At 38.2% G+C, this 13949-nt stretch overlaps 1 protein-coding gene across 1 annotated transcript in view; it reads left to right on the top strand.

Moving 5' to 3' along the window:
- The window catches only part of PHLPP1 (PH domain and leucine rich repeat protein phosphatase 1), a 264893-nt gene that overhangs the window by 193392 nt on the left and 57552 nt on the right, over positions 1-13949 (top strand). Inside the window, exons 9-10 of the mRNA NM_194449.4 lie at positions 5981-6076; positions 11027-11182. Coding sequence (NP_919431.2) covers positions 5981-6076; positions 11027-11182 — 252 coding nt within the window. The remainder of the gene's footprint in view (positions 1-5980; positions 6077-11026; positions 11183-13949) is intronic.

Here is a 13949-nt window from a genome sequence, read left to right on the forward strand (position 1 = left end):
ATTATAACAAACTATCTCTCAGACCACAGTGCAATCAAACTAGAACTCAGGATTAAGAATCTCACTCAAAGCCGCTCAACTACATGGAAACTGAACAACCTGCTCCTGAATGACTACTGGGTACGTAACGAAATGAAGGCAGAAATAAAGATGTTCTTTGAAACCAACGAGAACAAAGACACCACATACCAGAATCTCTGGGACGCATTCAAAGCAGTGTGTAGAGGGAAATTTATAGCACTAAATGCCTACAAGAGAAAGCAGGAAAGATCCAAAATTGACACCCTAACATCACAATTAAAAGAACTAGAAAAGCAAGAGCAAACACATTCAAAAGCTAGCAGAAGGCAAGAAATAACTAAAATCAGAGCAGAACTGAAGGAAATAGAGACACAAAAAACCCTTCAAAAAATCAATGAATCCAGGAGCTGGTTTTTTGAAAGGATCAACAAAATTGATAGACCGCTAGCAAGACTAATAAAGAAAAAAAGAGAGAAGAATCAAATAGACACAATAAAAAATGATAAAGGGGATATCACCACCGATCCCACAGAAATACAAACTACCATCAGAGAATACTACAAACACCTCTACGCAAATAAACTAGAAAAGCTAGAAGAAATGGATACATTCCTCGACACATACACTCTCCCAAGACTAAACCAGGAAGAAGTTGAATCTCTGAATAGACCAATAACAGGCTCTGAAATTGTGGCAATAATCAATAGTTTACCAACCAAAAAGAGTCCAGGACCAGATGGATTCACAGCCGAATTCTACCAGAGGTACAAGGAGGAACTGGTACCATTCCTTCTGAAACTATTCCAATCAATAGAAAAAGAGGGAATCCTCCCTAACTCATTTTATGAGGCCAGCATCATTCTGATACCAAAGCCGGGCAGAGACACAACCAAAAAAGAGAATTTTAGACCAATATCCTTGATGAACATTGACGCAAAAATCCTCAATAAAATACTGGCAAACCGAATCCAGCAGCACATCAAAAAGCTTATCCACCATGATCAAGTGGGCTTCATCCCTGGGATGCAAGGCTGGTTCAATATATGCAAATCAATAAATGTAATCCAGCATATAAACAGAGCCAAAGACAAAAACCACATGATTATCTCAATAGATGCAGAAAATGCCTTTGACAAAATTCAACAACACTTCATGCTAAAAACTCTCAATAAATTAGGTATTGATGGGACGTATTTCAAAATAATAAGAGCTATCTATGACAAACCCACAGCCAATATCATTCTGAATGGGCAAAAACTGGAAACATTCCCTTTGAAAACTGGCACAAGACAGGGATGCCCTCTCTCACCGCTCCTATTCAACATAGTGTTGGAAGTTCTGGCCAGGGCAATCAGGCAGGAGAAGGAAATAAAGGGTATTCAATTAGGAAAAGAGGAAGTCAAATTGTCCCTGTTTGCAGACGACATGATTGTTTATCTAGAAAACCCCATCGTCTCAGCCCAAAATCTCCTTAAGCTGATAAGCAACTTCAGCAAAGTCTCAGGATACAAAATCAATGTACAAAAATCACAAGCATTCTTATACACCAACAACAGACAAACAGAGAGCCAAATCATGAGTGAACTCCCATTCACAATTGCTTCAAAGAGAATAAAATACGTAGGAATCCAACTTACAAGGGATGTGAAGGACCTCTTCAAGGAGAACTACAAACCACTGCTCAAGGAAATAAAAGAGGACACAAACAAATGGAAGAACATTCCATGCTCATGGGTAGGAAGAATCAATATCATGAAAATGGCCATACTGCCCAAGGTAATTTACAGATTCAATGCCATCCCCATCAAGCTACCAATGACTTTCTTCACAGAATTGGAAAAAACTACTTTAAAGTTCATATGGAACCAAAAAAGAGCCCACATCGCCAAGTCAATCCTAAGCCAAAAGAACAAAGCTGGAGGCATCACACTACCTGACTTCAAACTATACTACAAGGCTACAGTAACCAAAACAGCATGGTACTGGTACCAAAACAGAGATATAGATCAATGGAACAGAACAGAGCCCTCAGAAATAATGCCACATATCTACAACTATCTGATCTTTGACAAACCTGAGAAAAACAAGCAATGGGGAAAGGATTCCCTATTTAATAAATGGTGCTGGGAAAACTGGCTAGCCATATGTAGAAAGCTGAAACTGGATCCCTTCCTTACACCTTTTACAAAAATCAATTCAAGATGGATTAAAGATTTAAACGTTAGACCTAAAACCATAAAAACCCTAGAAGAAAACCTAGGCATTACCATTCAGGACATAGGCGTGGGCAAGGACTTCATGTCCAAAACACCAAAAGCAATGGCAACAAAAGCCAAAATTGACAAATGGGATCTAACGAAACTAAAGAGCTTCTGCACAGCAAAAGAAACTACCATCAGAGTGAACAGGCAACCTACAACATGGGAGAAAATTTTCGCAACCTACTCATCTGACAAAGGGCTAATATCCAGAATCTACAATGAACTCAAACAAATTTACAAGAAAAAAACAAACAACCCCATCAAAAAGTGGGCGAAGGACATGAACAGACACTTCTCAAAAGAAGACATTTATGCAGCCAAAAAACACATGAAGAAATGCTCATCATCACTGGCCATCAGAGAAATGCAAATCAAAACCACTATGAGATATCATCTCACACCAGTTAGAATGGCAATCATTAAAAAGTCAGGAAACAACAGGTGCTGGAGAGGATGTGGAGAAATAGGAACACTTTTACACTGTTGGTGGGACTGTAAACTAGTTCAACCATTGTGGAAGTCAGTGTGGTGATTCCTCAGGGATCTAGAACTAGAAATACCATTTGACCCAGCCATCCCATTACTGGGTATATACCCAAAGGACTATAAATCATGCTGCTATAAAGACACATGCACACGTATGTTTATTGCGGCACTATTCACAATAGCAAAGACTTGGAACCAACCCAAATGTCCAACAATGATAGACTGGATTAAGAAAATGTGGCACATATACACCATGGAATACTATGCAGCCATAAAAAATGATGAGTTCATGTCCTTTGTAGGGACATGGATGAAATTGGAAACCATCATTCTCAGTAAACTATCGCAAGAACAAAAAACCAAACACCGCATATTCTCACTCATAGGTGGGAATTGAACAATGAGATCACTTGGACACAGGAAGGGGAATATCACACTCTGGGGACTGTGGTGGGGTCGGGGGAGGGGGGAGGGATAGCATTGGGAGATATACCTAATGCTAGATGACACGTTAGTGGGTGCAGCGCACTAGCATGGGACATGTATACATATGTAACTAACCTGCACAATGTGCACATGTACCCTAAAACTTAGAGTATAATAAAAAAAAAAAATTAAAAAAAAAATAATAAAAAACCTGATCCATCAAAAAAAAAATTTTTTTTTATTATAAATATATAATTATAAAATCATAAAACTCTTTGAGTAGTGCTTCATGCATTTCCTACTACCTATCAGATAATTTTATTTAATTAACTTAAATCAGACATTACCTAATTAGTTTTCTTTCCCCACCCACTCCTCCCACCCCCCAGCAACCCCAAATGTTATTTTCACATTTTGAATAAGAGCAGTATAGGAAGAGTATAGGAATGGGATTTGCGTACATGGATGCATATAAATATCTTGAACAGTTCTTTTCTTTTTTTGTTTTTTTGAGATGGAGTCTCGCTCTGTTGCCTAGGCTGGAGTGCAGTGGCGCAATCTTGGCTCACTGCAACCTCTACTTCCTGGGTTCAAATGATTCTCCTGCTCCAGCCTCCTGAGCAGCTGGGATTACAGGCACACACCACCATGCCTGGCTAATTTTCTTGTATTTCTGTAGAGATGGGGTTTCACCGTGTTGGCCAGGCTGGTCTGGAACTCCTGACCTCAAGTGATCCACCCGCCTTGGCCTCCCAAAGGGCTGGGATTATAGGCATGAACCACCATGCCCGGCCCAGATGTATTTTCAAGAATTAGTCATAGAGTTAAACTACTTTTTAAAAACAGTGTAATCAGCAAATGGTAGCCATTGAAACCCCTAAGTGAGACTGAATTGGAAACTCTTGTGTCATGCTTGTCTCTGAATTCTGCCTCTTAAATGATAATTCATCTTCCTGTGGCCACTCTCATGCCCAGAATCTTCACTATAACACACTACCTCATCCACCTCCCGTGCTGTCACCTATCACAGTGTTTACTAGGTCAGGTTCCTCCATGCAAAGTTCTAAGTTATTTTATCACTTACAGAAGTTTTAATTTTTGTATGTTGGGGTTGTTTTTACTAAAGAATACTTTCAATCCCCTATCCTGTTGAGATGTTTTAGATATTAACAATTAAAAAAAAAAATGAGCATGTCAATGTTTAGGGCTTCAAATCCAGAACTGTATGTGCTTATACAGACACTAAGCAGAAAATAATTCCTTCTATTTCTGTATTTTAATTGAGGAGTAGATATAATTGCAAAATTAAAGAACATAAATAGTGCATAATTCCACCACCCTAACATCAAAATTATTTTTCCTTTTGCTGTAATATCTTATAATTCTTATCCCAAGCATCATGTTTTCACAGAATTACTCATCTGTGTATAAAGAATTGTCATAATGTACGTACTGTTTGAAATTCTTTGTGCCTGATCATTTTATGTATTTTAAAAAGAAAGTAAAAAGCTAACCAGTGTGACTAGGGACACATTCAAATAGAGTAGTTTATCTAAGTAATGATCAATTCATTTAATAGTTAAAGACACCATTAGTTTAGTTCTCTCTCTCTCTTTTTTTTTTTTTTTTTTTTTGAGACAGAGTTTCGCTCTTGTTGCCCAGTCTGGAGTGCAATGGTGTGATCTTGGCTCACGGCAACCTCCGCCTCCCGGGTTCAAACGATTCTCGTGCCTCAGCCTCCTGAGTAGCTGGGATTATAGCCATGTGCCACCACACCCGGCTAATTTTTGTATTTTTTTAGTAGAGACAGGGTTTCACCATGTTAGTCAGGCTTGTGTCAAACTCCTGACCTCCGGTGATCTGCAGCCTGGGCCTCCCAAAGTGCCGGGATTACAAGCATGAGCTACCATGCCTGGCCTAGTTCTCTTTTTTATAGTAACTGTAATTACCATCTAGTGCCCAAGTAAATGTTTTTAAATAATTAATTCTGAGTCTTAACTGTCAGTGAACTTTTCACTGCCACCATTTTAAAACTGTTTCTCTCCCTTCCCATTTGTCCATGGCTGTGTTTTCATGATGACAGCTGGAGTTGGGAAATATTTTAATATTAAGTGTAAAAATACAAATTTGAAAATAAAACTATGATATGCCATTGACTTCGTGTGTTTTTATGTTCAATATAACACATATTCTCCCTGAACTTGGCATAGGTCTATAGACCCTTTAGGAAAGTAAATTTGGAGCTAGACTGTTTTTTTAGACTTTAGAGATGATACAGACTATGTAACTATGTCCTTCCTTCTTTTTAAAAGTTTAATTTAACCTAAAGATAGGGTCTCATGCTGTCACCCAGGTTGGAGTGCAGTGATGAGATCATAGCTCACTTGTAAACCTCGAACTCCTCTACTCCAGCAGTCCTCCCACTGTACCCTTTTGAGTAGCTGGGACTATAGGTGCATGCCACCATGAGCAACTAATTTTTTATGTTTTGTAGAAATGGAGTCTCGCTTTGTTGCCCAGGCTGATCTCGAACTCTTGGGCACAAGTGATCCTCCCATAGGCGTGAGCCACTGTGCTCTGCCTCTTCCTTACTTTTTCTTTATTTCTTCTCCCTATCACAATTCATCTTGCTTCTAGAGAAAAGCGAATCCACACATTCTTTCGATTTATGCCCTTGGTACTTTGGTATTTTATTTGAGGTTTTATTTATTCTTTGTAATCAATTTGAGTTTAGAACCACATTTGAGGACAAATTCAACCAATTACTTTTATGTTCTTGCATTTAGGAACCGCTTAGAAAATGTGCCTGAGTGGGTATGTGAAAGCCGAAAGCTAGAAGTTTTGGATATTGGCCATAATCAAATATGTGAACTTCCTGCCCGGTGAGTATTACAGATCAAATGAGAGGATCTCACAATAAATGAGCAATTTTAAAAATTGCTGATTCAGTGTTTAACTTGGTATCATAAGCCTAAAAGAGTTTGCTTTAAAAACTAATATGGTGTCTTTTACCCCATGTGGTGTCTTCAAGTTACACACTTGCTTCATGCAGTGCAGTGAGGAGTAGAGTGAGGCTTTGACTGTCAGCCAGACTTTTCAAAACCATGCAGGCAGTGGTGCTTGGTGGAAATTTTTAAGTAAGCCAAAAACAATCTTTGAAGCAAACAATATGATTGGCCCACTTCTGGAATCTTAAGTCTTTCAGAATCTTCCACCTCTGTTCATTGACTTAACATGTCTACTTTAACCATAAATACCTTTTGTTCTCCCTAGACTTTAACTTTGACGGGGGAAAAAGATGGTTAGGTCATGAAACCTAGAAAGAGCAAACTAGATTCTCTTTTTCTTGTTGTGAAATTTGGGAGTAGAAGGTTCAAGAACTTCTCTTTCCTTCTCTCTCTTAAATATGTTCTTATTTTTATTTTATAATTTTCACTTCAATGGCAGGATTTGCAAAACAGCCACGCGATGACTTCTATTGTCTGTAAATACAGACAGATATTTTCAAGTTGACTAATCATGGTCCAAAATATTAGTGGACTTTTAGTGACTAGCCATGCAGTTAGTAACCAAGAGTCTATCCAGTGCTGTCCTGTAGAACTTTCTGTGATGATTGAAGTGCTCTGCATCTGTGCTGGCCAGTATGGTATCCACTGGCCGTCTGTGGCTATTGAGCACTTGCAATGTGGCTAATGTGACTGAGGAACTGAATTTTGTGTATCCATTAATTCCAATTAACAAATTCATATAGTTACTTGTGGCTGCCTCAACCCAGGTCTTATTATTTCCACCATTCTCAGCCAGTCACTGAACAGAGGAAGTCAGTTATTTTTAGCTATGTGTAGTCAGAAACATCAGTGAAAATATTATAGAAGTATGTCACCATTTTGGAGTAAACTTTTACTTTAGTGCACAATCTTTAAAGGTATGTGATCACCATTCCTGTTTCCTTACCCAGAAGATATACTTGCTTGGTAAGCCTAGTAAACATGTTAGAGTTGAGCTGTCCAGTATGGTAGCCCCCAGCCAGCCATTAGCCAAGTGACTGTTGAGCACCTGAAATGTGACTAGTCCTAATTGAGAAGTGCTATAAGTGTAAAATGTACATGGAATATAAAATATTAATAATAGTGTACATTAATTACATGTTAATATTTGGGGTATATTCTGGGTTAAATGAAATAATACTCTGAGAATTCATTTACTTGTTCTTTTATTCTTTCTTTTAATGTGGCTACTAGATAATTTAAAATTACATGTGGCTTATATTTGATAACACTGTGTTAGAATGTAGCTCTTATTAAAGAAATCTGAGTTATATTTTCATCCCTGAAAAGCTCTGTTAATTTCATTATGTTCTGCAGCAATACATTTTACCTGTAAATACGATCCATTTGAAAGTGCTTTCTGCCCTAGAATATTATGTTGACTGAGCATTCAAGTGACCCATTGCAGCCATCACCATTAACAAGAGGGTGGGTGTGTGTGTGTGTGTGTGTGTGTGTCCATGCATGACCCTTTTAGTAGAGGAACAGGAAAAATGAAAACAGTAGGGAAAAAAATAATTCGTTGAAAAAAATTTTTTACCTTATCTTTTCTTCTATTTTCTTTCCTTCTATTCTTTTTTTTTTTTTTTTTTTTTTTTGAGACAGAGTCTCAGTCTGTTGCCCAGGCTGCAATGCAGTGGTGCGATCTTGGCTCACTGCAACCTCTGCCTCCCGGGTTCCAGCAATTCTCGTGCCTCAGCCTCCCGAGTAGCTGGGACTACAGGTACGCACCACCATGCCCAGCTAATTTTTGTATTTTTAGTAGAGACGGGGTTTCACTATGTTGACCAGGCTGTTCTTGAACTCCTGACCTCAGGTGATCCGCCTGCCTCAGCCTCCCAAAGTGCTGGGATTATAGCCATGAGCCACCACACCTAGCCTTTTCTATTTTCTCTGTTCTCTTTCCCACCTCCACCCCTCAATCCCACAGATAGCACATTGGCATCCAAGTTCTCTGTTTTGCTGAAGGCTACAAAGATATATTTTATATATTTTTTATATTTGTATATATTATACATTAACATATTATATATTTATATATTATATATTTATATATATAAACAAACAAATTCAAGATAACTGACATTTTATCCAATTTTCCTCCCAAATTTGTTGATCTTTAATTTGTTCTGTATCAGAACAGGCTTTTTGAGAATCTAAACAAATGCTTATTCAATGCAAATCCCAAATGCTCTATTGTTAAAGAATTTAAACAGTATTCTTTGTGTGTGTGTGTGTGTGTGTGTGTGTGTGTGTGTGTGTTTAACATGTGGGACAAAAAGAGTATGCATTGTTTTTCTGTTTATAGTGTTGTTCAATTGCAAACTCTGTGTGAGCCCTGTTGTTGATGTAATAGGCAAGGCTGGGCACCGTGGCTCTTGCCTGTAGTCTCAGCACGCTGGGAGGCCAAGGCAGGAAGATTGCTTGAGCCCAGGAGTTCAAGACCAGCCTGGGCAACACTGCAAGAACCTATCTCTGCAAAAAATAAAATTAGCTAGATATGGTGGCGTGTGCCTGTAGTCCCAGCTACTTGGAAGGCTTGAGGCAGGAGGATTGCTTGAGCCTAGGAGGTTGAGGTTACAGTGACCTATGATTGCATCACTGCACTCCAGCCTGGGCAACGGAGCTGAGACCCTGCCTCTTAAAAAGAAAAAGAAAAAAAAAAATTCAGGCAAGGCAATGATTCATTAAAATTGATTTAATACTCATACTTTGTCTATCCAAGTAAGGTATATAAAGAGTTTGACAGGGCCAGGCACAGTGGCTCATGCCTGTAATCCCAGCACATGGGGAGGCCGAGGCAGGCGGATCAACTGAGGTCAGGAGTTCAAGACCAGCCTGACCAACATGGTGAAACCCCGTCTCTACTAAAAAATATGAAAATTAGCTAGGCATGGTGGTGCACGCCTGTAGTCCCAGCTACTCTGGAGGCTGAGGCAGGAGAATCACTTGAACCCAGGAGGCGGAGGTTGCAGTGAGCCAAGATTGCGCCATTGCACTCCAGCCTGGGCGACAGAGTGAGACTCTGTCTCAAAAAAAAAAAAAAAAAAAAGAGTTTGACAAAAGAGAAATTATTAGAGGCGGAAATGTATTGAAAAGGAAAGAAAGTATTTTAATGTTTAGACAGTACCCAAAAGAATTGAACTAAACCCAATAATTAGCATTCAGTATTCGTCCTATAGTTGATCTTTTTTATTTGGAAAAATAAAGATAAAAGATTTTATCACCTTTTAGTTATTTATGTGGTAAAGGATAAATATATATATATATATATGATGAACCACATGCTGAGCTAATAGGCTGGAGTGACCATTACAGAGACTGCCCTGTGGTAATGGTAACTGCATAGATAATCTGGCCTGGATAATCTGTCTTGTCACACTGATAGCTAAACCTGCCAACTCAGGGATCTTTAATTGGGGCCTGTGGTGTCACAGGGTTGAGACAGGTTGCTAGCATCTTTGTGAGCAAAGAAACTCCATTTGCTATTTAAAGTGAATAAAGTTATTCCCTAATGTTATGGAGATTTTTAACTCTTGTGGATTGAAGGATACAAAATTTGGATTAGACAGGAAGAGTAAGTTCAAGAGACCTATTGCGCAGCATTGTAACTACAGTTAATAACAATGTCTTGTATTCTTGAAAATAGCTAAGGGAGTAGATATAAATGTTCTCATCACAAAAAAAAAAAGATAAATATGTGAGGTAATGCATATGATAATTAGCTTGATTTAGCCATCCCACAATGTATACGTATATTAAAACATGTTTTACACCATAAATATATGCTAATTTGTGTTAATTAAAAATTAACTTTAAAAAATTGTGGGCATTTGTGAGTGAGATCAGAATGGTGGAAAACAGGAGGTGGATGAGGAAGCCTCATTCTTTGACAGCAGATTAATAAATTAATTTATTAATTAGGCAGATTGATAAATTAATTCTTGATCTAAAGTGATCAGGATGCAAATTGTAACCTCACTTTTCCCCACCCCCCAGATGTCTGTTTAAACCCAGGGCCTGTTTTCTCTGTAATGTTGGAGAAGTCTGAAGTGGTCATAATGTAGATTTACATTAGATTAACAAGTATTCATCATCTCTGACAGTTCTGGTGACCTTTACAAGAAACACAGCCAAGCTTCCAAACAGCTCTTTAAGTCTCTCAAGAAAACAGTGGATTAAGTACATGCTGCTCTTTCGGGAGACAGTCTCTACCTTGGTCTAGGATTAAGCTAGAAAAAACAGACATACAGCCAGGGAAGTGAGGCAAAGAAGAAATAATTAGGATTGTGAAATAAATGCAACTGAGGAAAAACATAACATTTTCTCAGTGGACATTTGTAAAAGTTTGATTGAAGAACCCTTTATTTAATGCAGATCCTGTAGGTAAAGACTGCTCAGTTGTGTTTACTCAGAATCTCTTATGGGTAAAGCACCCAGCATTCTGGGACAATACAAGATACAAGCCCTACTCTGGAGAAGCATGCAGCCTTTGAAAGCTTGCCTTGTGACCCTAACAAGATTAGACTGATCTCTTCAGTGCGTACATCTATAGAACTTGTTTTTTGCTATGTAGAGCTTCTTTGCTCAATATTTGTTTACATAGTTTTTTCCTTCCTCCTTTTTTTGAGTATATAGAAAGTATTGAAACAAATAGTTTCAAGTTTGAATTTATATTAAAATGAATTTGTAGTTGCTCCAAGTGAATTTGTGATTTTTGGAGAGGTAATTTTAAGTATTCTTTACTCTTTTTCATTTTTTGGTCTTTTGTCCCTTTTTATACAGCTTATTTTGTAATAGCAGTCTCCGGAAACTACTGGCAGGACACAACCAGTTGGCAAGGCTGCCTGAAAGGCTAGAAAGAACCTCGGTGGAGGTCTTGGATGTGCAACACAACCAGCTCCTTGAGCTCCCACCTAACCTTCTGATGAAGGCTGACAGGTAAAGCCATTTGTCTTGTTTATCATCTGAGTCTATAAATATTCCCTCATTTGTATCTTTGTCTTTCGTGACCTGAGACTGTATAAACTTTCTGAGTATGTATCTGTCCCAGATTTGTGAAGGAAATAGTTTTGCCAGCCACTTTACTGACCATTTTGTAGGCGATGGAGTCAGGAGCAACCTATAGATTCTTTATTAACTTTGCTGCTCTCTGGAGCAAAGTAGGTTACATTGTCCATAAACATGTGTCATGGGGATGTAGGTGTAAAACAAGGATGAGAAGTGTGCTGCTCTGTTACTACCTGGTCACATCCCATGCCAGGCTTAGCTTAATTATCTTATGATTCTCTGTTCCCGCTTTCACATGTTTGGGACTTTGGGAGATGGAGATGAATTGTCCCAGAGTTAGCTTAGTTGTTATTGTTTTTTGTTGTTGGTGGTGTTTTTTGTTTTTTGATCTTTTGAGACAGAGTCGCACTCTGTCGCCTACGCTGGAGTGCAGTGGTGTGATCTCGGCTCACTGGAACCTCTGCCTCCCAGGTTCAAGCGATTCTCCTGCCTCAGCCTCCCAAGTAGCTGGAACTACAGGCATGTGCCACCACGCCCAGCTAATTTTTTGTATTTTTAGTAGAGGTGGGGTTTTGCCATGTTGGCCAGGCTGGTTTCGAACTCCTGGGCTCAAGTGATCCACCCACCTTGGCCTCCCAAAATACTGGGATTATAGGTATGAGCCACCACGCCTAGGACTTATTGTTTTTTAAACAGTCCTTCTTATCTTTATCATAATTAATTCCACATTCAATTCAATTATTTTGTTTTGAACAAACAAAATTTTCCTAAATTACTTGTATCATACACTAAGCATTTGAAGTTGTTTTGAATGGGAGGGAGAGGTTAATTTCAACATTAAATGAAGCTCTGTTATTTTGTTGTGATAAGTTGCCACATACAGAATTTTCTTTAAAGAAAGCTTTAAGTAACAGTGGCTGTTAACTTACTTTGGAGCATCTTGTTTGCTTCAGAACCCATGTGCATCATTCTCAAGTGTTTCATAACCTGAGTTATTTTGACTTCTGCTCCCATGTTTATTTTTAGGGAGTGACCATTACTTTAGAGACAATATGAAGGATCTAACTTTTAGTGTATCTCATAATGAAGACAAAAACGTTAAATTTAATTTTGCTTCTAGAAGTGCAGAGAAGAGAAGGAAATGATGACAGATCTTTTTACCTTACAAAATAAATGTTAGCTATGTTTCAGCATGTGTCATATTATGTGGGTGAAATGGCCGTCTGCGATCTCTGTCTCTCCTAAGCCGAATTAGATTTCCCACTGCATGTTCCTAACTCCCTGAGCTTACTCCTGCTGTAATACTCATCACACACTGTATTGTAATTTCTTGTTCACTTGTCTCTCTCCATTATTAGATTACTAACACCATGTGGCCAGTGACTGTGTCTTAATTATAGTTTTATCATCAACATCTTACACTGTGTCTGGAATAAAGGAAAGTGCTCAAAAAATATTTGTGTAATAAATGATAGAGAATTTAAGGAATTTCAAATACTACCTTCATTCCTGGCTTTATATTTTTTTCTTCCTCATCTTTTCCATAAATCTTTAATAAGAGTAAAAAAATCTTACTACAAAAATATGACTTACATTCAGTAAAGTGTCCAACTTTTAAGCCTACTGCTCAATGAATTTTTACATATTTATGGAAATGGTTGCAAGGACCACCTTACCCAGAACAAGATATAGAACATTTCTAGCACTCTTCTTTTTCCTTTCGTTCTGTTTTCCTCACTTAAAAAGAAAATTATTTTCAGTGTACTCATGTAAGTTATAATGAATTCCAACTGGAATAATTATAAAGAAACAATAGAACTATGAGAAAATGGGATTGTCATATTGTAATTGGCCAGTACTGTGTCATCCTCCTGGTAAAAAGTGAAATGTTTCAAGATCATTGAAAGAATTCTTGTTTTTTGGTTTTGGGTTTTTTGTTTGTTTGTTTGTTTGTTTGTTTGTTTGTTTTGGAGACGGAGTCTAGCTTTGTGGCCCAGGCTTGGAGTGCAGTGGTGTGATCTCAGCTCATTGCAACCTCCACCTCCTGGGTTCAAGTGATTCTCTTCCCTCAGCCTCCCAAATAGCCGGGATTACAGGCGCATGCCACCACTTCCAGCTAATTTTTGTAATTTTAGTAGAGATGGGGTTTCCCCATGTTGACCAGGCTGGTCTTAAACTTCTGATCTCAAGTGATCCACCCGCCTTGGCCTCCCAAAGTGCTGGGGTTACAGGCATGAGCCACCGCACCAGGCTAGAATTCTTGTTTTTACGTTAATATCAAAGCACAGTGTGCAGAGACAGATCACTTTAGACATATGCTTTTTGGTTGTGAATACTATAAAATTTGATTTCTTCTCCTATGGAGAATTATAAGTTATATCATAATGAGAATCCACTTGTTCCCCTAGAGTTCTACGCTGAATCTGTAGAACCAAATAAAGGAATGGATTTAGGTTTTAGGAGCCTGAATGAAATAAAAACCATTTCTGAATCTGGCCAATTCTGGTAAGTTCACAACTATTAGAGGTTATCAGTGCTAGAATTTCCAATAGATAATAATCATTCTTTATTCATTCCTGAGAATTTGATTTTACAAGGACGTTTCTGTATTTCATTCTCTGGAGACTGTATTTTCATGTTTAGATGTGTTTGGACAAGGATTTAAGTAAGAACAGTTGTAGTTTTAGGGGATTGTGGT

The sequence above is a fragment of the Homo sapiens genome, chromosome 18, assembly GCF_000001405.40.
Source record: "Homo sapiens chromosome 18, GRCh38.p14 Primary Assembly".
Lineage (NCBI taxonomy): Eukaryota > Metazoa > Chordata > Mammalia > Primates > Hominidae > Homo > Homo sapiens.